This window comes from Homo sapiens, chromosome 3 (assembly GCF_000001405.40).
Source record: "Homo sapiens chromosome 3, GRCh38.p14 Primary Assembly".
Taxonomy (NCBI): domain Eukaryota; kingdom Metazoa; phylum Chordata; class Mammalia; order Primates; family Hominidae; genus Homo; species Homo sapiens.
The window spans coordinates 50,175,011-50,199,280 of record NC_000003.12 but is presented as its reverse complement, the minus strand read 5'-3'; the positions used below and the strand labels follow the sequence as shown (position 1 = coordinate 50,199,280).

Below are 24,270 nucleotides of genomic sequence, written 5' to 3'. Positions count from 1 at the left end.
AAAATAGGTCAGGTGCGGTGGCTCATGCCTGTAATCCCAGCACTTTGGGAGACCGAGGCGGGCGGATCACTTGAGGTCGGGAGTTTGAGACCAGCCTGACCAACATGGAGAAACCCCGTCTCTACCAAAAATACAAAATTAGCCAGATGTGGTGGTGCATTCCTGTAATCCCAGCTACTTGGGAGGCTGAGGCAGGGGAATGGCTTGAACCCAGGAGGTGGAGGTTGCAGTGAGCTGAGATCACACCATTGCACTCCAGCCTGGGCAACAAGAATGAAACTCCGTCTCAAAAAAAAAAAAAAAAAAATTAGCCGGGCATGCTGGCATGCAGCTGTAGTCCTAGCTATTCGGGAGGCTGAGACAGGAGAATTGCTTGAACCCAGGAGGCAGAGGTTGCAGAGCCGAGATTGTGCCACTGCACTCCAGCCTGGGCAACAGAGCGAGACCCCATCTCAAACAAAACAAAACCCAGAAAATAACAAGAGTTCACAAATATGTAGAGGAAGGGGGACCACCTGTGCACTGTTGGTGGGAATGTAAAATGGTACAGCTGCTGTGGAAAACTGTTCCTCAAAATATTAAAAGTAGGCTGAGCGCAGTGGTTCACACCTGTAATCCCAGCACTTCGGGAGGCCGAGGTGGGCAGATCACTTGAGGTCAGGAATTCAAGACCAGCCTGGCCAACATGGTGAAACCCCATCTCTACTAAATACAAAAATTAGCCAGGCATGGTGGTGGGTGCCTATACTCCCAGCTTCTTGGGAGACTGAGGCAGGAGAATCACTTGAACCCGGGAGGCAGAGATTGCAGTGAGCTGAGATCGTGCCACTGCACTCCAGCCTGGGCGACCGAGTGAGACTTCATTTCAAAAAAAGGGGTCAGGTGCAGTGGCTCACGCCTGTAATCCCAGCACTTTGGGAGACCAAGGCAGGCGGATCACCTGAGGTTGGGAGTTCGAGACCAGCCTGACCAACATGGTGAAACCCCATCTCTACTAAAAATACAAAATTAGCCAGGTGTGGTGGCACATGCCTGTAATCCTAGCTGCTTGGGAGGCTGAGGCAGAATCACTTGAACATGGAAGGAGGAGGTTGCAGTGAGCCGAGATCATGCCATTGCCACTCCAGCCTGGGCAACAAGAGCAAAACTTCGTCTCAAAATAAATAAATAAATAAATAAATAAAATAAAAATAGATTCACCATATGAGGCCGGTTGCAGTGGCTCACGCCTGTAATCCCAGCACTCTGGGAGGCCGAGGTGGGCAGATCACCTGAGATCAAGAGATAGATCGAGACCATCCTGGACAACATGGTGAAACCCCGTCTCTACTAAAAACACAAAAATTAGTTGGGCATGGTGGCGTGTGCCTGTAGTCCCAGCTACTCAGGAGACTGAGGCAGGATAATTGCTTGAACCTGGGAGGCGGAGGTTGCAGGGAGCCGAAATTGTGCCGCTGCACTCCAGGCTGGCGACAGAGAGAGACTCTGTCTCAAAAAAAAAAAAAAAAAAAAAAGATTCACCATATGATTTGCCAGTTCCATTTCTGGGTATACACCCAAAATAATAAAAAACAGAGGCTGGGAGAGAGATTTGTACACCCATGTTCATAGCAGCATTATTCACAATAGCCAAAAGGCAGATGTAACCATTCATCAATAGATGAATAAATAAACAAAGTGTGGAATATATACAATGGAATATTATTCAACCTTAAAAAGGAAGGAGATTCTGCCATATGCTACACATGAATAAACCTTGAAGACATGATGCTAAGTGAAATAAGCCAGTTGCAAAAAGACAAAGACTTCATGGACCCACACATCTGAGGCACTTAGAGCAGTCACATTCATAGAGATGGAAAGTAGAATGGTGGATGCCAGGAGCCGGGGGAAGGCAGGAATGGGGGGTTATTTTTTCATGGGTACAGAGTTACAGTTTTACAAGAGGAAAGGAGTTCTGGAGATGAACAGTTGCGGTGGTTGTACAACATTATGAATGTACTTAACACCACCAAACTATACACCGGCAAGTGGCTGAGATAGTAAACTTTATGATACATGTATTTTTAAAACTGGCAAAAAATCCCTACAAACATATAGCAACAAATAGTTTTCCCTTTGCTTCAAGCCCCAATATATCTTAGCATGCCTCTGTTTGATCCTCTGTTGGATTTTGATATTTCATTCATTGTGGGGTTTTGCATTCATTTGATTTTTAAAAATATTATCCTAATATTATTTACCTTGGTTACTAAATTTTTTGGCATCGCCTTAAATGTTGCACCCAAGGTGAGTGTGCCTCACTTCCCTCACCCTAATCCCAGCCCTGCAATTATGTTCCTGCCTCGAGGGCTTCCAAGACTCTCCATCACCTTCTGAGAAAGCCCAGGCCCTCCGACTGGCTTTGGGCACCTGTCCACGTCTCTCCTCCCCTGCTCTTGCTCCACTGAACTCCTGTGGCCATAAGCCCATGTTTCTGGGGCTGGTAGACACTACGGTCCCTGCCAGAATGAGCCTCCACCTCAAAACTCCCTCTTGATCCAAGACTGTCCCAGTGAATATTTTCCACAGCTCCTCTCTCCTCAACTCCCGTGAAAAGCCATGAGTTGGTCCCATACCCCCAAGAGTGCCCCACCTTGTCAGGCCAGGTACTTCTTCCTGGGAGGGGCCATCTTCCCACTTCATGCCCAACCCAGCACTGGGCACTTAATAAATGCCCATGACTTGTGATAATTAAGTCCTCCACCAAGAAAGGACAGCTGGAGCCTGATGCAAAGGTTTATTGCTGAGTCTGTGCGTCTAGCTGAGGGGAGTGCAAATTGTGCCCCGGCCTTGCCAGACGGAAGCTCCTTGTCCCCGACTGCAGCACAGGCCCTGGCCTGTGGACATAAGCAAAGATTTGGTGCTGGATGAGGAAGGAGGGAGCAGGGATGTGGGGACATGGGCCTTTGTCCCTGATAGTTCAGCCATGGCTCTCAGCTTCCCCTGCCAGGGAACCCTGAATGGAAGGGGCAAGAGAAGCTGCTGGTAGGGACAAGAGGGTCACCCAGGTTTGCTTGTAACCCCACCTGAGGTAGACCCTTTTGGGCACAGCCAGGGCCTTTGTCCTATCCTGAATCCTCTGGGCTGATCCAAGGGAGCTGGACTCTGTCCCCAGCCACCCCTCAGGACAGCCCAGCTATTGGCCATAGCTGGTGTCAACAGTACCCTCCCTTAACCCCTTAACACACCATCCTGTTGTCCAACCAGCCCAGGGTACTGTGTGTGGGTGGGGAAGTGGTGTGTGGATCTGCTGTCCAAGGACACAGGGAGCAGATCCTGCTGGAGAAGGCTGGAGGTTGCTCTGAGCCTAGTATTTGGGGAAGGGTCCTGCTGTGTCTCACTCTGGCACCCAAGGGCCCCCAGGTCTGCCCCCTCCCCACTAATTTATTTATGTGGGGGCCACACAGGCCAGAGCTAGCTTGGACTTTGGACCCTTTGGAGGCTGCTGGGAGGGACAGTCACTGGCTCTGGGTAGACAGGTGTCAAACTTGTCACATGGAGGTGGCAGGGTGAGCAGCTGGCCTGTGTGTGGGAGGGATATTCCCTGTCCTTGATGAAATACTGGGAGGGAGGGCTGTTTGCTGAGCCCAGGCCCACCAGGTGAGTCGTGGGCCCCCAGGGGCAGGAGAGCTGCGGGAGATTGGTCAGTTGGGCACTGCTGAGTCACCGTGAGCTTCAGCTGCCCCAAGTCCTGCCCGTTCCTAGCTGGGGCTGGCTGCTGTGAGTCCTAGAGGCCAGTGCAGCCGGGCGGTGAAGGGCAGGGCTTGGGGTTGGGGGCATGAGGCGCTGGGATACTGTGGGAGGTATGGGGGAGGGTCCGCGCCTCAAGGCTAGCAGGGCTCAGAGCTTTGGTGAGGTGGCAGGTTGGGGCCAGGGAGTCCCAGGGGGCTGATAGGGTCCTGGGGTTTGGGGCTGCAAGGCAGCTAGGGCTACCAGGTCTCAGGGTGACTGACACGCATGAATTCAGGCACCTGTGAAAAGGAAACCCAGTCAGCATCCCTGAGACCCAAAATAAATGGGTTTAGGCATTGTGTGTGGTGGGGCGGCCCTGGAAGCTGTGACACCTGAGGTCTTGGGGCGGGGCCAAAAGAAATTCAATGGGTGGGACTTGTGGGGTGGGGCGGGGCCTCTGTCGGTGGGGTGGAGCCTGAGGAGCTGGGGTGGGGCCTGGAGGCAGTAGGCTCCAGGATTTGGGGGTGAGGCTCCAGGGCCGTGGTGTGGGGTGGGGAGCTGGACGGGGCTGGGGTATTGAGGCAAGAGCCTGGAGAGGGCAGCGACCTACCTCAGAAGAGGCCACAGTCTTTGAGGTTCTCCTTGATGATGATGTCGGTGACAGCGTCGAAGACAAATTTGACGTTCTGCGTGTCGGTGGCGCACGTCATGTGGGAATAGATCTCCTTCACGTCGCGCCGCATGTTGAGCTCGAGGAACTGCACCTTGATGTAGTTGCCGGCGTCCTCGTAGGTGTTGGGTCCTGCGGGGGCGGGAGCTCTCACTCTGCTCAGCCCTTCCTTCCCCGTGCGGGGGGTGCGCGCCGCGATCGTGGGGCGGGGGCGCCGCCTGGCGGCCTTGCGGACTTCTCACCATCGTAGTCCGGGAAACAGATGCTGAGGTGCGCCTTCTTGATCTTCTCGAAGAAGACGTCCTTCTTGTTAAGGAAGAGCACGATGGACGTCGTGGCGAAGTAGCGGTGGTTGCAGATGCTGTTGAACAGGTGCAGGCTCTCGTGCATGCGGTTCTGAGGAGGGCAGCAGCTGTTGGGCACCCGGGGTAGCGTCCGACCCGCAGCACCTGCTCTCTGGGCTCCCGGGCACGCGGGGCTTCCCGCTCAGCTGGCTCTCAGAGGGCTCCCCGCACTGCCCCAGATGGGCCTGCTGAACGCCTCCGGGCCTCCTCAGGCCGCCCGGGACAGGCATCCCCTCCCGTGCCCTCCCCCAGCCCAGCGCGCGGTCTCCGCCTCCAGGGACCAGCAGCTCCTCCTCGCCCCCCTGGAACACAGGCCCTGCCTGGCACGCACCACTTCGTCGTCCTCCACTAGCACCATGTCGTAGGCGCTCAGCGCCGCGATGAAGATGATGCAGGTCACGCCCTCGAAGCAGTGGATCCACTTCTTGCGCTCCGAGCGCTGCCCGCCCACATCGAACATCCTGCGGGGCCGCGGGGGCCTGAACCTGCGCCCCGGGCCCCACAGGCAACATCCCTTCGCCCTGTGCTGGTCGGGGAGCTCTCGGCCGGGACTACCACCCTTTCTGCTGGCGGGGTATCAGGGAAGGGGCAGGGTCTATCGCAGGGATGGGGTCCCCGGGGCAGGACGGGGCCTGGGGCAGTGACCTCCTGGGCTAGCGTATGGGTCGTACCGGAAGTTGAGATCCTTGAAGGAGAACTGCGTCTCGATGATGCCAGTGGTCTTGACTCGCGAGCGCAGCACGTCCTGCTCGGTGGGCACGTAGCCCGGGGTTACCAGGCGCTCCAGGTCGGAGAGGTAGCTGCGCGAGACCCGGCCGTAGGTGGGTGGGGAGGCGTGGAGGGCCCCCTGCGCCCCGCGCCCCGCGCCCCGCGCTGCCCGCGCGCTCACTAGCCCGCCGAGTCGTTGAGCTGGTACTCCGAGGCGCGCTCAAAACAGGCCTGGATACCGGAGTCCTTCCACAGCCGCTGGATGATGTCCGACATCTCCTTGGGCATCGTGCCCTCCTCGATAGTGTCTGCCATGTGCATCAGCTTCCGGGCGTCGTCCTGGGGGCAGGGTGAGAGTGGCTGGTGGCGGCCAGGGACTCGGGCCCAGCCGCGAGCCTCGAGTCCCCAGAGGCCCGCTCAGCCCGCCTCCTGGCACACCTGGCGTGCAGAGTCTCCGTACTGGATGTTGAGTGTGGTCATGGCGCGTACGATGGCCAGGATGGACTGCAACGTGTTGCCGTAGATGATGGCGATAAACTCGAGGCACTCTTCCAGCGAGTACCCGTCCTGGTGGATAATCCTGAGGCCGAGGAGAGCAGAATCAGCGCCTCGTGGGGAAGTGGGGAAGGACCCAGACCCAGGGGCCTCGGGACAGGCAGGGGCACTCACTTCATCTGCTTGACGATGGTGCTCTTCCCGGACTCACCGGCACCTGAAAGAGACGCGGCGCCTCAGAGCTGCGCTGACCAGCCTGCCCCCTCCAGCAAGGAGGCCAGGAGGACGGGGACCTCCCGAGTTGGCAGGGTGGACCCGCAGCGAAGAGGCCTGAGCGCCAGCCCCGACCCCGTAGCCACACCTACCCCCCCATCCAAATTAAGTCCTGACATCCTGAAGTCACAAGGTTTGCAAATGCCAGGAAAGTGAAGAAAGGAAGCCAACGAGGGGACTCAACGACCTCAACTGTTCTGGGACAGGGGAGTCCCCAAGACCCCGGCACAGGCAGCCTTTATTATGCTGTGAGACTGCAATGAAGAAATCCCGGAGCGTCATCGCCACCTCGTGGGAGCCTCTGGTACCGCAAGCACTGGGTTATTTGAGGCGGGTAAACCCCTTGCATTTCACCTGAAGGGGTGCAGGTGTCTCCAGGAGGCTCAGAGGGAATTAGCTCTTTTGGGTAGGAGGGAGGGCAGAGTTGACATCCTTTCTGAGCTTGCCCCTGCGAGGGCGTTGGGCACAGTTAATGAGATTTCCGGCTTAGCCTCTCTGCCTTGGGGGAAAGTGGGACTGGCTTGGTCCCTCACCCACCTCCAGCTGGTTGACCAGACCCTGGGGAGCTTGGGTGGAGCCCCTCTTGAAGCTGCTTTTTCCCCTTGAGAGGTCAGGCAGTGACCTTGAGGCAGGCCTGGATCAGCCCCATCTCTCCTCAGTGCCCATGGTCCAGTGGACGCGGCTTTATCTACTCCCACTGGGCCTCAGTACCCGCCAGCCCCTCTGGCTGCTTTGTAGGTCTATCAGCCACAGCCCTCTGGCACCTGAGGGCCATTCGTTGTGGATCTGGGTGGTCCTAGAGGCTCCCCACTCCCAGGAGGACTATGGCCATCCCCTTCCCAAAGTAGCAGCCCAATAACGGGCTCCCAGTGAGGCTCCTGGCTTCTGAGCATTGCCTAGCAGGCGTATCAAACCAAAGGCTGCATGAAGCTTGCGGGAACCCAGCCACGGAAAAGTCGGCATCACACACCCGTGCAAGAGTGTGGTTGGCACGCACTTCTGGGGAGGGTGGGTCACCTGAGGCAGAGCCGTCTGGAGAGGGGCTTTGTGGGATGTCCAGCCCTGGGGGACTAGGACACCACCTGTCAGGCCTGGCCTTGCTTGGCCAGGGCTCCCACCCTGTGCCCTACTCTGTCACAGGCTCATACTGCTTCCCAGGGAATCCTTGCTTCACAGAAGGGCTGCCTGCCTGCCTCCAGACCAATGACCTGGTGGCAGTGGCCCCACCTGGGCCCACACCCCTACCCAGAAGCAGCAGCTTCACGGTTCGAGCATCCTTCTCAGCGTCCTCTTTCAGCTTCTTTTCCAGCTCCCTGGAGTGCTTCTCCTCAGCACTGGCCCCAGCCCCCATGGTCCCAGCAGCAGGCGAAGGGACAGAGTGAGCAGGTGGTTCTTCTGGATGGAGGGGATCCCCAGAACCTGGCCTCCCAGGCACCCTTCTGGCCCCAGGAGGACCTGCAATCAACTGGCTCTCTACGGACCTGTGCAATCCCTGGTGGGGCTGCTTAGTGGGATTTGGGGGCTAGGGGTGTCCAAGAGCCAATCAGAGACAAGGACAGGTGAATCCAGCTCAGCCCCCCCAACCCTTCTAATCGGGCTGGCATAGCCCCAATCCCTCAACCGCTGACTCTGCACTCCGGCTGTCCTTCTGTCCCCGCAACCCTCCAGGAGAGGCCCTGGCACTGCCTGGGAGTGGGGAGACATGTTCAGTAGGGTCAGGGCTGAGAAAGGGGAAGGCAGAACCTTGAGCCCTGGGGGTGAGGACAATGGAGGTGGGGCTGGCAGTGAGAGGGCATAATTGGGAGAAACATGCCTGCTGCCTGCCCGGCACCAGGCTCAGCACCACTCCTTATCTTGTTGTAAGCTCACACTGGCCCTGGAGTATGGATGCCCATATCATCAGCCTCATTTTACTGATGAGGAAGTAAAGGCTGAAAGGGTCACACAGTAGGAAGTGGTTAAGAAGGGCTGGTGACTCTGGACTGGGATTTTATGACCTGCAGGGAATCCAGAGAGAGGGAAACAGTGGGCATTGCATTCATCCCATATCACAGGCTGGAGCTGCCCCAAGGAGGTCCTCTGCTTCCAGCGGACTGTGGTGGGCATGCATATCTGCTCTGTGTGCCTCGGTGTATGTGTCTTTTTTTTTTTTTTTTCTGAGATGGAGTCTCGCTCTGTTGCTCAGGCTGGAGTGCAGTGGCGCAATCTCAGCTCACTGCAAGCTCCACCTCCCAGGTTCACGCCATTCTCCTGCCTCAGCCTCCTGAGTAGCTGGGACAACAGGTGCCCGCCACTACGTCGGGCTACTTTTTTTGTATTTTAGTAAAGACAGGGTTTCACCGTGTTAGCCAGGATGGTCTCAGTCTCCTGACCTCGTGATCTGCCCGCCTCGGCCTCCCAAAGTGCTGGGATTACAGGCATGAGCCACCGTGCCTGGCCTTTTTTTTTTTTTTTTTTTTTTTTTTTTGAGACAGAGTTTCACTCTGTTGCCAGGCTTGAGTGCTGTGACACGATCTTGGCTCACTGCAACCTTCAACTCCCTGGTTTAAGCTTCTCCCACCTCAGCCTCCCAAGTAGCTGGGATTACGGGCATGTGCCACCATACCCAGCTAATTTTTTGTGTATTTTTAGTAGAGACGGGGTTTCACCATGTTGGTCAGGATGGTCTCGATCTCCTGACCTTGTGATCCACCCACCTCGGCCTCCCAAAGTGCTGGGATTCAGGTGTGAGCCACCTCGCCCGGCCATGGGTGTGTCTTTTGCTGGCACCAAGCGAGCAATAACTTGACACATTTGTGCATGAATACCTGTGTGTACATGTGTGCCTGCATGTTTATGCCTTTGTGAGTGCATGTGCTCTTATAGGAATCACGTGCCTGTGCGCATGCTTATGTATGTGTGCACATGTATACACATGTGTATGCATGTGTGAATATGCTTTGTGTATTCTCTTCATGCACACATAGGCTTGTGTGTTTTGCAGTTTGTGTAGGTTTGCATGTGTGCACTTGCTTATACGCAGGGGTGTAAACATGCCTGTTTGTACCTGAGCATATGTGTGCCTGTGCATGTCCATCTCTGCCTGTGTATGACTGTGTGTGTGCATGCATGCTTGCAGGCGCCTGTGCCTATATGTACACTTGAATTTGGGTGCAACAAAGTCTCTAATCTGCAGAAGTGGCCAGGCTCTTCCAGAGAATGTTTTGCAGGCCTGTTGCCAGGTGGAGAAATTGCATCCCAGAGCAGGTGTAGTGTTCCCTGGGGTATGGAGGAATGGGGCTCACCTATCCTGCTCCTGCTCTGTCTGCTGTGGGTGCTCTGAGGCCTGCCTAAGATTATCTCCAGGGCCTGCCTGCCTCAGCTTAGGGGGTCTGGTGCTCTGTTCAGGTGCAGGGCTCACTGCCGGGCAGAAATTGTTCAGGTTGAGCTCCCAGGTTCTAGAGACTTCCCACCCTCAACTTCCATAGGAAAACCCAAATCTTGGGCTCTCAAAGGCTCCTCCAGGCACCCTGAGCCTCCTGGCTGGACTCTTCCCTGGAACCTGGCTGCCTTTCAGCACTCAACTCTGCCACAGACTCAAGAGACCACAAGGGGGTGCCGGGGCACCAGACACTGAGCACTAACGGCTGTCTCTAAATAGTATGCGTGGGAAGTGAATGCTGGCTCCTACCACAGGCTGGCAGCTTCTACACCCACCCTGTTGGATGATGGGGATCTGTCCAGGAGTGAGGCCGTTGCATTTCTGCCACTTTCAGCCTTCAGGCTCCACCCACCCTCCCTGACCCTGAGGAGTGAGTGGGCCCTGAGGGGTCTCTACAGCCCTTCGCACTACCCAAGTGTTTGGGGTGGTGCAGCAGCCCAGGTTTGTCAAACTAAATGTGGTTTCTACATGTTGGGTTTCTTTAAATGGAGCCAATCTACTCCCTTCCCAGCCCCCCACCTGGCTCCCCAGGCCCACCACGTGTGGCTCTAAATCCCCTGACCAAGGAGAGAAGCCAAAGTCTAGTCCCAGAGCCAGTGTTTATTAGCAAGATGGAACCCAAAGGCGGCTGTGGCCTGGGCAGCAGAAGGCCACCAGGAGCCCCCACCCATCTACCCAACTGCCCCCCAGAGCTAATTACATCCACACCCATCCCCTGAAGTGGTGGACATAAGGGAGCCCTGGGGAGCCTCTACCGGCCCCAGGCCTCTACCACGGACCCCCTCCCCTCAGAGCTGGGGCCTCCCGTCAGCTCTGCCTGGGCCTGGCCCCTCTGCTATGCTCCCAGCCTCTGAGTCAAAGTGGCACAGGGAAAGCTAAGGAGGTAGAGTGGGGTGGCCCTGCCCTGGCCAGGCGGGGAGGGGAGAAGGGGCTGAAGAGGCTGTCCCACCCAGGCAGGATGCCTCTTCTCCTATCCCCAATAAATAGAGAATAAATACCCAGGAAGGGGCTGGTCGTGGCTGAGTGCCCCCAACCCAGGCAGGGGCTGGCATCCTGTGATGGCCCCTTCTTCCCTTCTCTGTGTGCTCTTGAGGCCACCCCAGTCTCCAAAGTGGTCCTCGCATCCATGTCTATGCCACAGCACAGGCTGACAACACACATCAGAAAAGGTGGACAGTCCGTGCCCCATCCGAGTAGGGCTTGCTCCCTCCCTTTGTCCTGTAGATCTTGGCGGAGGCTGTCCAGCAGGTAGACTTCCAGCTGAGTCTGGGGACTGTGTGGTCCTGGCCTGGCCCCACCAACTGGCTGGGCCTGGTTAGGCAGGCTCTGTTTTCTGCCGTCTCTGACCAGCATGGGTCTAAGTTTTGGAGGATGCTGCCACTGAGGCAGGCTATATTCAACCCACCAATAAATACTGTCTTTGCAGGGGCAGGGTGTGTATAGAATATAGATATTTTATATATATATATATATATATATATCTTTTATATTAAAAGGGACAAGGGCTAGGCTGGCCCATGGCAGGCACAGGCAGCTGGCCTCATGTGTCCGGAGGGTGGTGCCGGCGGTTCCGGGGCTTTTTCTGGTCCTGGGGCTCAGGAGACCGGGGTGCCCCTGGAGCCTCCCTGGGGCTGGGGGGCACATGGCGCCAGTAACCCTGGCAGTACTGGTGGATGAGGCCCACTTCTGGCTGGGCCAGCAGCTGGGCTAACTCCTGGTAAGGAGGCGTTGGGGGGCCTGCGCCTGGGGGTGGCGGGGCGCTCATGGACAGTGGTGGGAAGAGGGCAGCATGGACGGCGTCCCGGCCCAGTACATGCAGCTGCACTCGTGTGACGACGTGCTTAAAGTTGTTCTCAGTGGCTGTGCAGGAGTAGAGGCCACGATCGCTGAGCTGCAGTGCACGGAGCAACAAGCCCTGCTCTGTGCGCAGGAAGCGGTCCTCTGCACGAATCTGCAGGGGCAAGGAGAGGGGGTTCAGAGGCTCTGTGACCACCCTATGGCCCTAGCCAGCAACCAGATCAGACCACCTTTGTGGCCATTCCGTGTAGAGGCACCCATGTGGGATTTCCATATGCCAGAAAAACCACATGAAGTTTCTACATAATGAGAGATATTTGAATAAGGCATCTGTACAGATTTCCATTTCAGGAGTGATGACCATAAGGAGGTTCTGTACAATGAGGAAAATTTGAAGCACACACAGAATTCCTTTTTTTTTTTTTTTTTTTTTTTTGAGACAAGGTCTGGCTCTGTCGCCTAGGCTAGAATGCAGTTGAATGATCTCGGTTTACTGCAACCTCTGCCTCCCAGGCTCAAGCCATCCTCCCACCTTAGCCTCCCAAGTAGCTGGGACCACATGCATGACTATGCCCAGCTAATTTTTGTATTTTTGGTAGAGAGAGGGTTTCACCATGTTGCCCAGGCTGGTCTCGAACCCCTGACCTCAAGCAATTTGCCTGTCTTGGCTTCCCAAAGTGTTGGGGTTACAGGTGTGAGCCACCACGTCCAGCCAGAATTTCCATTTAACGAGAATATCCAATTGGGATAACCACATAGAATTTCCACATAAACAGGGACACCTGTAGGGCATTTTCATAAAATGAGGGCCCCATAGAATTTCCACATACTGGAGCTCACTCACATGATGTTTTTGTAGAAGGTACACCCCCAATGTGGTATGCATATGGAATTTTCATGTGAACAGGCATACCCAGAAACACTTTCCATAGAATGAGGCCAATCCCAGGGAGTTTCCATGTAACTGTTTTCACTCAAAGGATTTGCATGTAGGGAAGGGAGCTTGGAAGGGGTTTCACAGCATGAGAGTTGCTCCAGATCACTCCTCTACTACATTTCACCACTGTGCAAGGACTCACATCCACGGTGCAGCACCGGGCGCAGGAACTCACCTCTCGGCGCCGGTCACCAGGATCTCGCTGGAACAGCCACTTAACAGTGGCTTGGGGCGAGCGGGGCTGGCACTCAAGGAAGGCTGCGCTGCCGGCCACGCCATACTGCACAGACTCCACGGCATTCTTGTTGGCTTTAGAGTGAGAGGGGTTGAGCAAAAGCAGCATCACCTCCGGGCAGCCTGCTGACTGCTTCGGGGCAGGCACCGAGGGGCACCCACTCACCAATGTAGTGCTCTGTGTTGATGGGGCAACTAGGGACATCCCATCTCCATTAGCCCCCACCCTCCATTAGCCATCAGAGCACCCTTACAGTGGGGGCCCTGTGAGCAGCTTCGTGGGCTGCGTGGACTTCTGCAGTGTGAGCAGCACCCCACAGTGAGGCCCAGCATACTCACCATTGGAGTTGAACCCACGGCACTGCCTGATGGGGTTTCCGTGCCGGACGTCCTGCCGGCGGCTCCGCCTGGATGAGGATAGCCCCTGAAGGAGTGCTCCCAGGAAGCTTGCCCCCCCAGGTCCCTGTATCTCCCTGACTCCAGGGCAGGGCCCTTTTTCCCCAGGGCAGTGATGTCTTACCCATAAGACTCCCCTAGGGTAATATCACATGCACCCCGGGTAATATCACATGCACCCCCAATCCCCTAGGATAGGGCCCTGGGACTGGTTGCTAAAATTCTAGGTGTCTAGGGGTCCACACCTCTTGGAGGATGCTGTATAGCGGGAGCAGGCCTGGCCATCCCAGGCACAGTAAGGGTCCCGGGCAAGGCAGCAGTCAGCACAGGCAGCCCCATACGCCTGGCAGCGGTGCAGGCTCAGGTGTGTGACACCCACGGCTGACGCCACGTAGAGTTGTTGCTGGGGCAAAGGGTAGGGCCTTGTCAGTTCCTGTCCCATAGCCAGCCCCACCAACAGCCAGCTAGGCTGGGCTCCTCTCCCCTGTTCCATGCCTCAGTTTACCCATCCCTGTGCCAAGGGCATGACCCTGAGGGGATGCAGGCCCTGTCCCCAACCTTGGCTCACCTCGCCAAAGGCTTACCCTCTTAGAAGAGATGGTCATGGTCTTGACGGGTGCTGGATCCTAGAAAAAGATAAAGATCAGCTTGGGATGCCAGGGACCCCCTCCCTGCCCTGACCTAGAGGTCTCAGGTCAGAGGCTGGGACTGGGGGGAGGGTAAAGGTGGGGAGGTCAGGACTGGGTGGTGTCACACCCACCTTGAAGACCTCCACCTCCTCCAGCATGAGCTCCTCCAACTCCTGGTCATCCTTGGGCAGCACAATGACCTTCTGCACTGTCCCGCGGTCTGGAACGGGCCGGGCAGGGCCTCAGTGGGGCTGGGGATGCTGGGGAAGGGGTACCAGCCTCAGCCCCTTCCCCCACCAGGGCCCAAACCCCCCTAGGGCATTGGAGCTGGAGCTTTGTGCCAAGGTGGAAGAGTTTCCCCAGGTCAAAGGGGACTGGCCCAGGACATAGGGGGTCATGGCCATGGTCTGCCCCCACCAACCCAGACCCTGATTTTGGGCCCTGCTGAGAACAGGACACTGGGGCATGCATTCTCCTGTGTTTGGGCTGCTGGAACTGTAGGGGGTGCACTGTGGCATGTGTGTGCACACACGAGCATGTGTATGGCCTCTGTATCCTGGAGGTGCCTACCATCTGTCTCCACCCCTTTCCTGCCATACATACATAAGTCCCCAGATGCCCAGTGTCCCTGTTCTCCTGGGCCCCTGGGGATGGAAGTGGGAATGGGGTTTTCTCACCCCTAGCCTCTGTTATCCCATCAATAGGGAGAAGGCACCAAAGGATGAGGATGAAGAAGTGACTCTGATGAGCTTGCAGCAAGCCCTAGCAGGGCAAGCCCCAGCCCCAAGGATCTGCACCCCGCACCCGGTGGGCCCAGCGTGGGAGAGGCCGGGAGCAGCAGTGGGTACCTGTGCCCAGGAAAAGCACCTCATAGCGCCCGTCGGCTGCATCCACCTGGTCCACGGCAATAGTGGTAAGGCGGTAGGGAGCACCTGTGCGGACTACCAGGGGCCGCCGCTGCAGAGGGTACACGGCCTGGTACATGAGTGGGTGGCTGCGCATGAAGTTGATCACCTCATCAGGATAATCCTTGGTGGACTTCATAGATGGCGTGAAGGTTCCACCAGGGCACTGTGGACAGGTGGCGAGTGTCAGTCCCAGGCTGCCTGGGCAGGGCAGGCTGGAGCCATTAGCTTCAGAAGAGGCCGCTGCACTGTCTGTCCCCACTACCTCAACCTGCTCCTCTCCCCAAACCCGCTCTCCAAGTTTCTGCCCTGCACCTGACCTCTACAGGTCCTGCTCTGGCCAAGGTCCCAGGTGGCCAAATGCCACAGCCACCTCCCTGGCCTCAGGTGCCATGACCTCGTGGCAGCATTTGGCCAAGCGGACCACTCCCTTCCATGTCCCCCTCCCCACCCCTGTCATCTCCTTCCTCTCTGGTTGTTCCTAGGGTCTCACCCGTCTCCCTCCTGCACAGCTGGACTGCAGGCCCCGACGTCCTTGTCACACACCAGGCTCACTCTCCTCCTTCCTGAAGCTGTCCCCTGAACCTGGGCTCAGCCTGCCCCCCGTCATGGCCAGCTTACCTCTGGCCCATCCTTCTGACTCCAGGTTACCTCTGGAGGGAAGCTTCCCCTGTCCCCCACTGAGACCAGCTTCTCCAGCCCAGTCCTGACTACATGGAGTCAGAACTGCATTGGACCAGATCCGCTGCTCTCCTGCTTAGGCTCCCACATCAGCCGGTGTCACATCAAGATAAAGTGACATGCCTCTGTGACCTCTGAGACCCTGCCTGAGGCCTGGCCCTGCCCCTCCCCAGCTCTTTGCCTCCTGTTCCTCAGCTGAGCCAACCTCCAGCCTGCCTCCAGCACCTGCAGGGAAGACGCTTCCCCCCAACCTTCAGCTCCCAAACAGCCCCACAGAGGACCCTCTGAGGAGCAGCCGACCACGCCCAACCCACCATCTTTGTCCCAGAATCCCATCTGGGCTCCTCCACAGCTTGACACTGTGTGTGAAGGCCCGTCTGTGTGTGCATTACAGCTCACCGCCTCCGCTGGCTGGGAGGGCCATGATGGTGGGGCCCATGTTGCAAAGAGCCTGACCCAGAGGCCTCTTAGAAGAAGAGAAAGGGGAGAGGCAGGATGAGTGGGGTCCTTACCGTGCCCGGCCGTGGGTAGGGCATCTTCCCTGAGAAGGGCATCCACTGGTAGTTGGGCCCCTCTTTGTGGGCAAAGGGCCCGTTGAAGACCATGCGAATATCAGCCATGGAGTAGACACACACGGCAGAGCCTCGGAACACGGAGCTGTGGGCATGGCAGGCGCTGCTGAGCAGGACAGACCCTCCACCTAGGGCCCCTCCCCAAACTGCCCCCTCCCCACAGCTCGCCACCGGGCTGGGGTTCTCCACGAGTTACAATCCCCCAACGGGGCCACTCCCTGCCACTGCTGGCCCTGACCCCAGCCTCACCCAGAGGAGGTAAAGACAGCGTAAATGACAGGGTTCCTCACGTCCTGGGTCTGCTGGACAAACACGTCCTCTGGGGACAGAGGGAGAAGGTGTTGGAGGGTGCCATGGGCGGGAGCCCCTGGGCCCCACCCACTCCTGCACAGGGGAGGGGGCCCACCAAAGGCACCCTGATCGCCCATCCCGCCTCTATCCCTCTTGCTGTAGCCAGAGCACCCTGCCTGCCTGCTGGGCACTCACGGAGCTCATCAAAGTGAGTCTCAATGCCATCCTCGCCCGGGACAGAGCAGACGAGCCGCGCCTTCAGGAATGTGCTCCACTTGTTGACCAGGCAACAGTGACCACCGTCATCGTTCTGGGGGGTGGGGCAAGAGGCCGGGTCAGATCAGCTCTTGACCCCAAGCCCTGGCTGGAGCAGGGCTGATGAAGCCAGAACTGGTGGAAGGGGCAGCCTGGTGGCTCTGCCAATGCATACCAGGCAAATGCGCCCGATGCGGGCGTACACCGCGGGGCTCTGCGGCGCCTCTGCCGACCGCTCACGGAAGAAGAAGTAAAGCTTATCATCATTGCGCTCCGCACTGTCAGGAATGAGCTCAGCATGGATGAACGACGGGTCTGCAGGTGGCAGGGGTCAGCTGGGTGAGCCCCTACTCTGATGGTGCCCCTGATGTTCTCCAACAGAATCCCCAGCCAGGTGCAAGAACACCCCCAACTCCTCTCCAGATAAGAAACTACCCCTGCCCCAGGTAGTCATAGGCTAAACATGTCCCCACTTCCCCCACATGTGCTTCTTTACGACCTCCTTGCCGCATCCCAGACACATGGCCACGGAAGGGCTCCTGGGGCTGCGCTTACCGTTCAGCCACCGGGAGTTGTACTGATCCGTGCGCATGGCTGTCTGCTTTCCAAGTGTGCGGAAGATGGCTGCATCAGTGCCCATAAAATCGATGTACACACCAGCATAGAGCTCCTCATCTGTGGGTAGGCCAGTGGGTCAGTTGGGGGGCTGCTGTTTGCTAGGGCCAGGGCACAGCTCAGATGACTTCCAGGGCAGGGCCTTATCTCCCCGCTCAGGCTCCCTGGGGCATGATCCTATCTCCAGTGGAGTGCTGGTCAGTGTTTCACCACTGGCTCTGGGAGGGTTGGGATTAGTAACTATCAGCTCTGATTAGTAGCAATAGCCCATTTCTGTGGTGTGAATACTCCTGCCACAACTAATTTCAAGCTACCAACCTGAGGTCACTGAAAGCAAAATCAGGAAGAGCTGCCAACACCACTGTACAGTATTTCTACCCCACAGACACAACAAATGTAAATCACCTCAAGAGCATAGCTAATAGACCAGCTGCAGTGGCTCATGCCTATAATCCCAGCACTTTGGGAGGCCCAGGTGGGTGGATCATTTGAGGGCAGGAGCTGGAAGCCAGCCTGGCCAAGATGGTGAAACCCTACCTATACTAAAATACAGAAATTTTCTGGGCATGGTGGCAGGTGCCTGTAATCCCAGCTACACGGGAGGCTGAGGCAGGAGAATTGCTTGAACCAGGGAGGCGGAGGTTGCAGTGAGCGAGATCATGCCACTGCACTCCAGCCTGGGCAACAGAGCAAGGCTCCATCTTAAAAAAAAAAAAAGAGGCCGGGCATGGTGGCTTATGCCTCCTGTAATCCCAGCACTTTGGGAGGCCAAGGCTGGCAGATCATGAGGTCAAGAGATCGAGACCATCCTGGCCAATGTGGTGAAACCCTGTTTCTACTAAAAATACAAAAAAATTAGCTGAGCGTGGTGGTGCACGCATGTAGTCCCAGCTACTCAGGAGGCTGAGGCAGGAAGATCCCTTAAACCTGGGAGGCGGAAGTTGTAGTGAGCCGAGATCGCACCACTGCACTCCAGCCTGGTGACACAGTGAGACAACCGTCTCAAAAAGCAGGAACAAAAATAAAAAAAAAAAACACAAAAAAACAAAAAAAGAGCATAGCTAACAATAAAGTGTAGTGAAAGAATTAGGAAGCATATGCACACCTCAGTTTACTGGGCTTTGTGCACTGCAAATACTGCATTTTTTACAGAAGGAAGGTTTGTGGCAACCCTGTGTCAAGCAAGTCTGTTAGCACCATTTTTTCAACAGCATATGCTTACTTTGTGTCTCTGTGTCTGTGTCACAGTTTGGTAATTCTTCTTTTTTTTTTTTTTTGAGATGGAGTCTTGCTCTGTCACCCAGGCTAGAGTGCAGTGGCACCATCTCAGCTCACTACAACCTCCACCTCCCAGGCTCAAGCAACTCTCTTGCCTCAGCCTCCCAAGTAGCTGGGACTACAGGTGCCCACCACTACATCTGGCTAATTTTTGTATTTTTAGTAGAGACGGGGTTTCACCATGTTGGCCAGGCTGGTCTCGAACTCCTGACCTCAGGTGATCCACCTGCCTCGGCCTCCCAAAGGGCTGGGATTACAGGCATGAGCCACCGCGCCTTGCCTACATTTTGGTGATTCTTGCAATATTTCAAACTGTCTGTTATGGTGATCTGTGATCAGTGATCTTTGATGTTACTATTGCAATTATTTCGGGGCACCGTGAACCTCACCCATATAAAACAGTGAACTTAATCGATAAATGCTGTGTGTGTTCTGACTGCTCCACTTACTGGCCATTCTCCCATCTCTCTCCCTCTTCTTGGGCCTCTCCATTCTCTGGGACACAGCAATATTAAAATTAGATCAATTAATAATCCCACAATGGCCTCTAAGTGTTCAAGTGAAAGGAAGAGTCATATTATCTCTCACTTTAAGTCAAAAGCTAGAAATGGGCCAGGTGCAGTGGCTCATGCCTGTAATCCTAGCACTTTGGGAGGCTGAGGCAGGGGATCACTTGAGGTCAGGAGACCAGCCTGGCCAACATGGCATAACCCACTTCTACTAAAAATATAAAAATTAGCCAGAGGTGGTGGTGGGCGCCTATGATCCCAGCTACTTGGGAGGCTGCGGCAGGAAAATCACTTGAACCGGGGAGCAGGGAGTCGGGGGGTGGAGGTTGCAGTGAGCCAAGATCATGCCACTTCACTCTAGCCTGGGGGACAGAGTGTAACTCTGTCAAAAAATAAACAAACAAATAAAAAAAAACAAAAAAGCTAGAAATGATTAAGCTTAGTACGGAAAGCATGTTGAAAGCTGAGATAGGTCCCAAACTAGGCTGCTAGCACTAGTTAGCCAAGTTGTGAATGCAAAGGAAAAGTTCTTGAAGGAAATTAGAAGGGCTATTCCAGTAAACACACAAATGATAAGAAAGTGAAACAGCCTTATCACTGATATGGTGAAAGTTTTACTGGTTTACGTGGAAGATCAAACCAGCCACAACATTCCTTTAAGCCAAAGTCTAATCCAGAGCAAAGCCCTAACTGTCTTCAATTCTATGAAGGCTGAGAGAAGAGAGGAAGCTGGAGAAGAAAGGTTTGAAACCAGCGGAGGCTGGTTCATGAGGTTTAAGGAAAGCAGCCATCTCCAAAACATAAACATGCAAGGTGAAGTAGCAAGTGCTGATGGAGAAGCTGCAGCAAGTTTTCCAGAAGATTTAGATAAGATCATGGATGAAGGGAGCTACACTAAACACGATTTTCAATGCAGATAAAACAGCCTTCTGGCCAGGGCCAGTGGCTTACACCTCTTATCCCAGCATTTTGGGAGGCGGAGGTGGGAGGAACACTTTAGGTCAGGAGTTCAAGACCAGCCTGGTCAACATGGCGAGACGCTTTCTCTACTAATAATACAAAAATTAGCCGGGCATGGTGGCATGCGCCTGTAATCCCAGCTACTTGGGAGGCTGAGGCAGGAGAATCGCTTGAACCCAGGAGGCAGGGGTTGTGGTAAGCCAAGATGGTGCCACTGCACTCCAGCCTGGGAAATACGGCAAGACTCCATCTCAAAAAAAAAAAAAAAGAAAGAAAGAAACAGCCTTCTCGTGGAAGAACATGCCATCTAGGATTTTCACGGCTATCAAGGAGAAATCAATTCCTGGCTTCAAAGCTTCGAACGACAGTCAGACTCTCTTATTAGGGGCTAATGCAGCTGGTTACTTTAAGTTGAAGCCAGTGCTCATTTACCATTCCAAGAACCCTAGGGCCCTTAAGAATTATGTGAAATAGGGGTGGGCGTGGTGGCTCACGCCTGTAATCCCAGCACTTTGGGAGGCCAAGACAGGTGGATCACGAGGTCAGGAGATCGAGACCATCCTGGCTAACACGGTGAAACCCCGGTCTCTACTAAAAATTAGCTGGGTATGGTGGCGGGTGCCTGTAGTCCCAGCTACTCAGGAGGCTGAGGCAGGAGAGTGGCGTGAACCCGGGAGGCGGAACTTGCAGTGAGCTGAAATCACACCACTGCACTCCAGCCTGGGCGACAGAGCGAGACTCCATCTCAAAAAAAAAAAAAAAAAAAAGAAAAAGAATTTTGCAAAATCTACTCTGCCTGAGCTCTATAAATAACAACAAAGCCTGAATGACAGCACATCTGCTTACAGCATGGTTTACCGATTTTTTTTTTTTTTGAGCCAGAGTCTCGCTCAGTTGCCCAGGCTGGAGTGCAGTGGTGCGATCTCAGCTCACTGCAACTTCCACCTCCCAGGTTCAAGCTATTCTTCTGCCTTAGCCTCCCAAGTAGCTGGGATTACAGGTGCACACCACCACACCTGGCTAATTTTTGTATTTTTAGTAGAGACAGAGTTTCACCCATGTTGGCCAGCCTGGTCTCGAACTCCTGACCTCAAGTGATCCACCCGCCTCAGCCTCCCAAAGTCCTAGGATTACAGGCATGAGCCACTGTGCCTGGCCGGTTTTCTGAATATTTTAAACCCACTGCTCAGAAAAAAAGATTCCTTTCAAAATATTACTGCTTATTGGTCTTGGTCTCCATCAGAGCTCTGATGGAGGTGTGCAAGGAGACAAATGTTGTTTTCATGCCTGCTAACACAACATCCATTCTGCAGCCCATAGATCAATTTCAATTTTCAAGTCTTTTCTTTTTTTTTGAAATGGAGTCTCACTCTGTTGCCCAGGCTGGAGTGCAGTGGCACGATCTCAGCTCACTGCAACCTCCACCTCCCAGGTTCAAGTGATTCTCCTGCCTCAGCCTCCCTAGTAGCTGGGATTACAGGCACCTGCCACCACGCCTGGCTAATTTTTGTATTTTTAGTAGAGACAAGGTTTCACCATGTTGGCCAGGGTGGTCTCGAGCTCCTGATCTCAGGTGATCCGCCCGCCTCCGTCTCCCAAAGTGCTGGAATTATAGGTGTGAGCCACCGCACCCGGCTAGTTTTGAGTGTTTGTTACTTTTTATTGTTGTTACCTTTGTTTTAATGTTTAATCGTAAACTTATATAATTTAAAAAATGTTTTTTATTTTTTATTTTTTAGTAGAGACAGGGTTTCACCATGTTGTCCAGGCTGGTCTCAAACTCCTGACCTCAAATGATACACTCCCCTCAGCCTCCCAAAGTGCTGGGATTATAGGTGTGAGCCACTGAGCCTGGCCTTAACTTTTAATAATAGTTGTCTTTAACAACTGGCTCAAAAAATTCCTGAAAATTTAATAATGTACTTGCCTCTAACATACCACATCTGAGGCTCCCCCAGGGCAGGCCCTGTCTTTCCTCATCAGAGTGATTTGGGCTGTGCCATCAGGCTGGGACCTTCTCACTTGCCAAGAGGGGGAGGATAATGTCTGCCCCTTGACCCCAGGGCCTTTCCCAGGCTTGGAGGTGGCACAGTGCCCAACAGCTGCTCTGAGAGGCAGACTGTGTTGAACAATCAGAAAACAGGCAGCGTGCATGAGCCAGGGTCAGTGATGGGTTCACCCAACCTGCAGTTAGGGGCAGCAGCTGCTCCTGAGACCCCGGCAGGACCCCTACTCAGAGAACAGCCCCCAACCCTCCCAGACACCTACCCAGACCAGGAACATGCTCTCCCCGTCTGGTCACAGGGCCGGAACTCTCCATTGGTCCTTCGCTACAGGGCTCTCCCAGCCTCTCAGACACACCAAGAACATGCTATGGGACTGCCCCTCAGACCAGCCCCGATACGCACTCGGCTTATCTTCTCTTCTAGGAAGCCTATGGTCAGGAGGGTTCTGGACTTTGCATGGACCACATTGTGTGTTTCAGGGTAGGACCTGGCTTCCTTGGTCCCCCATCCAAAGGGGCCAGGCGGAGGCTTCTACCACCCAGTCTCTGACCTCAGCTCACAGTGGGGTCTGGCCTGCACCCTCTCCCCCTTGCCAGGTGGGGCCTTTTGGGGAGTTCAGGGACAGCCTAGTCATGGTCTCTGCCCTTGGGTAAGTGTTGGTGCCATGCCCCATCTCCAGGGGCAGAGGCCACACATTGAGACTGTAGAGCGGGGTTGGGGGGCACTCACTGATGAGGGCCGATGCTGTGTCCAGCTTGGGATCGTACGGACACTTGCCCTTCCCTGACTCGAGTCGCTCAGGCTCCAGGTAGAAGATGTAATCCTGTAAGGCAGAGCGGGGCTCAGCATCGTCCAGGCCAGTCCCCCAGCCAGGAAGTGTAAGGGTCACCAGGCTCCCAGGGTGAGAATGAGCCCCCAGGCATACCCCGAGCCCACCCCCTACACTCCCCAGCATTCCTTGGCCTTAAACTCCATCCAGCCAGGTCTCCCAGGGCAGGGCCATGCTGTGGGCTCCAAGGGGGGTGCTTCCTAGTCCCAGGTCTTAGGGAAGACCTGGGGACCAAGTCTCAAGGGGCCCTGCCTTGTGGGCTATGAGATGGACATGGAGTGGGCTTGTAGGGGCTGAAGCCCCTCCATGCCAACTGGCTCATAAAGACACTGGCCAAGGCCCCCTGGGCTACAGAGGCACAGCTCTTTGCTGTGGCTGCCTGTCTTGGGTCAAGAAAGCGCTGCAGACCTGGCCAGGGCAGGAGTGACTGGTTAAGGGCCTGGGGTCCTGTCCTTTGCCATCAGGTCTAGCCAGGCCAGAGAGCTCTAAGGTTACTGTATCCTCAGGCTTTGTGTCCTACCTGTGGTCCTCAGGATGGACCAATGGGCCATGACCTTTCTCCTGTCCCTCAGCACAGCCCCCAGGCTCCACATCTCCCCAGGGAGCCAGGAGTCAAGGAGTCCAGCCCAGACCACATGGAATTCACAAAGCCCCCTGTGCCTCCCAGCCCAGCCTGCAAGATGCTAGGAAGGCTGGAAAAGGCACTGGGACAGGGGTGAGCACAGAGGCCACAAGAGAAAGCCAGGCAGAGGGAAGGAAAGGGGCAAGGAGAGAGGAACAGAGGCAGGAGGAGGTGGCAGCAGGTGGCAGGATGGCGATGGGAAGGTGCACACAGGCCTACTTCCAGCTACACACTGCACACGTGACTTCCTGCACACACAAGGGTGCACACACAGCTCTGAACATATCACCGCCAGCACACGGAACCGCCTGCTCACACCATGGACACACACACACAGAATCCACACGATCCTGCATTTCTGCACTCCCCACCACAAACATGCTCTGTCATTCACCGGCAGCCCCTGCCCCCCTGCCCGCCCCTGCCCAGCCCCAGCTCTCCCAGCCCAGACCCAGGTCATCACTAGTGGACAGATACCACACGGGAGAAGAGCGCCCCAAGCACATGAGTGTGCAGGACACCTGTGTCCACAGATGACTCATGGGAGGCATGGGGCACGAACACCTGGGAGTAAGGTGTCAGACTGCACTCATGTGCCACTTTCCACTCTGGGTGCTGAGTGAGGAAGGCCCACATCCACACCGGTGTGTGCTCTTGTGTGTCTACACACATGCTTTCTGAGGGCTAAGGCATGGCTGTCCCCAGGGCTCCTGTCTTCCCCACCTGGCGGCTTCATTATTTCTTGCCTGCAGGGGTCACACTGAGGCTGACATGAGTCCAGCTGGGCATGCCTTCTGAGCCTGAGGGCTCTTCAGGGGAAGGGGTGGGGACAGGGTGTGGGCACAGAGGTAGAGGGGAGGCCCTGGGGAGGCTGGCCTCAGGTGCAGGCCCAGGGTGAGTTCCGCTCAGAGGCAGTGCTGCCTGGCAAAGGCCTGGAGGGATGAGGCCCACCTGGCGTGGGGCTGTGGGCATCGGGCGGAGGGCACCATCCGTGGCTCTGCTGCCGCGGCCTCTGACCGCCTGAGTCTGGGTCCATGGTGTGGCCTGAGAAGACGAGGAACAGGGGTTAGAGCTGGGGGTGGCAGGGGCTGGGGGAGCGGGCTCGGGCTGCCAGCCTCTAACACCACAC

The 24,270-nt window shown here is 55.7% G+C and overlaps 2 protein-coding genes across 14 annotated transcripts in view, besides 7 other annotated features; both read right to left on the bottom strand.

Moving 5' to 3' along the window:
* GNAT1 (G protein subunit alpha transducin 1) lies at positions 1,585–7,671 on the bottom strand. Of its 2 annotated transcripts, none has more exons than NM_144499.3 (9): positions 7,450–7,671; positions 6,106–6,148; positions 5,875–6,016; positions 5,618–5,775; positions 5,400–5,528; positions 5,060–5,189; positions 4,627–4,780; positions 4,325–4,516; positions 1,585–4,013 (listed from the first exon to the last, which is right to left on the bottom strand). In NM_144499.3, exons 1-8 carry the CDS (start codon positions 7,553–7,555, stop codon positions 4,326–4,328), a joined length of 1,053 nt encoding a protein of 350 aa, NP_653082.1. In that variant the 5' UTR covers positions 7,556–7,671; the 3' UTR covers positions 1,585–4,013; position 4,325. The 2 variants fall into 2 exon arrangements, with proteins under 2 accessions (NP_653082.1, NP_000163.2); NM_000172.4 differs by having other exon boundaries at positions 1,585–2,879.
* Positions 3,782–4,313: an enhancer, noted in NCBI's record as "H3K4me1 hESC enhancer chr3:50232401-50232932 (GRCh37/hg19 assembly coordinates)". NCBI's record gives its function as "activates a minimal SCP1, AML or CMV promoter by ChIP-STARR-seq in primed H9 embryonic stem cells {active_cell/tissue: H9 hESC(primed)}" and the evidence as "EXISTENCE:reporter gene assay evidence [ECO:0000049][PMID:30033119]".
* Positions 4,366–4,881: an enhancer, noted in NCBI's record as "H3K27ac-H3K4me1 hESC enhancer chr3:50231833-50232348 (GRCh37/hg19 assembly coordinates)". NCBI's record gives its function as "activates a minimal SCP1, AML or CMV promoter by ChIP-STARR-seq in primed H9 embryonic stem cells {active_cell/tissue: H9 hESC(primed)}" and the evidence as "EXISTENCE:reporter gene assay evidence [ECO:0000049][PMID:30033119]".
* Positions 4,500–4,559: a silencer, noted in NCBI's record as "silent region_14383". NCBI's record gives its function as "represses an Ori minimal core promoter by ATAC-STARR-seq in GM12878 lymphoblastoid cells {active_cell/tissue: GM12878}" and the evidence as "EXISTENCE:reporter gene assay evidence [ECO:0000049][PMID:35858748]".
* Positions 4,870–4,929: an enhancer, noted in NCBI's record as "active region_19889". NCBI's record gives its function as "activates an Ori minimal core promoter by ATAC-STARR-seq in GM12878 lymphoblastoid cells {active_cell/tissue: GM12878}" and the evidence as "EXISTENCE:reporter gene assay evidence [ECO:0000049][PMID:35858748]".
* Positions 4,870–5,398: a biological region, named in NCBI's record as "H3K27ac-H3K4me1 hESC enhancer GRCh37_chr3:50231316-50231832".
* Positions 4,882–5,398: an enhancer, noted in NCBI's record as "H3K27ac-H3K4me1 hESC enhancer chr3:50231316-50231832 (GRCh37/hg19 assembly coordinates)". NCBI's record gives its function as "activates a minimal SCP1, AML or CMV promoter by ChIP-STARR-seq in primed H9 embryonic stem cells {active_cell/tissue: H9 hESC(primed)}" and the evidence as "EXISTENCE:reporter gene assay evidence [ECO:0000049][PMID:30033119]".
* Positions 5,399–5,915: an enhancer, noted in NCBI's record as "H3K27ac-H3K4me1 hESC enhancer chr3:50230799-50231315 (GRCh37/hg19 assembly coordinates)". NCBI's record gives its function as "activates a minimal SCP1, AML or CMV promoter by ChIP-STARR-seq in primed H9 embryonic stem cells {active_cell/tissue: H9 hESC(primed)}" and the evidence as "EXISTENCE:reporter gene assay evidence [ECO:0000049][PMID:30033119]".
* Positions 10,206–24,270, bottom strand: part of SEMA3F (semaphorin 3F) — a 34,018-nt gene continuing 19,953 nt past the window's right edge. For 4 of the 12 annotated variants that reach the window (XM_005265381.5, XM_011533998.3, NM_004186.5 and 1 more), the window contains exons 6-19: positions 24,093–24,185; positions 22,420–22,513; positions 16,878–16,997; positions 16,498–16,637; positions 16,263–16,377; positions 16,026–16,095; positions 15,717–15,861; positions 14,467–14,689; positions 13,750–13,838; positions 13,574–13,615; positions 13,235–13,392; positions 12,933–13,000; positions 12,535–12,668; positions 10,206–11,576 (exon numbers count right to left, since the gene is read on the bottom strand). In XM_005265381.5, coding sequence (XP_005265438.1) covers positions 11,166–11,576; positions 12,535–12,668; positions 12,933–13,000; positions 13,235–13,392; positions 13,574–13,615; positions 13,750–13,838; positions 14,467–14,689; positions 15,717–15,861; positions 16,026–16,095; positions 16,263–16,377; positions 16,498–16,637; positions 16,878–16,997; positions 22,420–22,513; positions 24,093–24,185 — 1,902 coding nt within the window. In that variant the 3' untranslated portion in view covers positions 10,206–11,165. The other 8 variants (XM_047448700.1, NM_001318798.2, XM_005265382.5 and 5 more) reach the window with 5 other exon arrangements.

What these genes read in the sequence shown, in the direction of transcription:
- GNAT1 (NM_144499.3), bottom strand. Translation starts at nt 7,555, where the DNA reads ATGGGGGCTGGGGCCAGTGCTGAGGAGAAGCACTCCAGGGAGCTGGAA. An exon ending in CGTGAAGCTGCTGCTTCTGG is followed by an intron (nt 6,149 to 7,449) that starts GTAGGGGTGTGG and finishes CGTCTCTTTCAG; the next exon opens with GTGCCGGTGAGTCCGGGAAG. An exon ending in CTCAACGACTCGGCGGGCTA is followed by an intron (nt 5,529 to 5,617) that starts GTGAGCGCGCGG and finishes GGTCTCGCGCAG; the next exon opens with CTACCTCTCCGACCTGGAGC.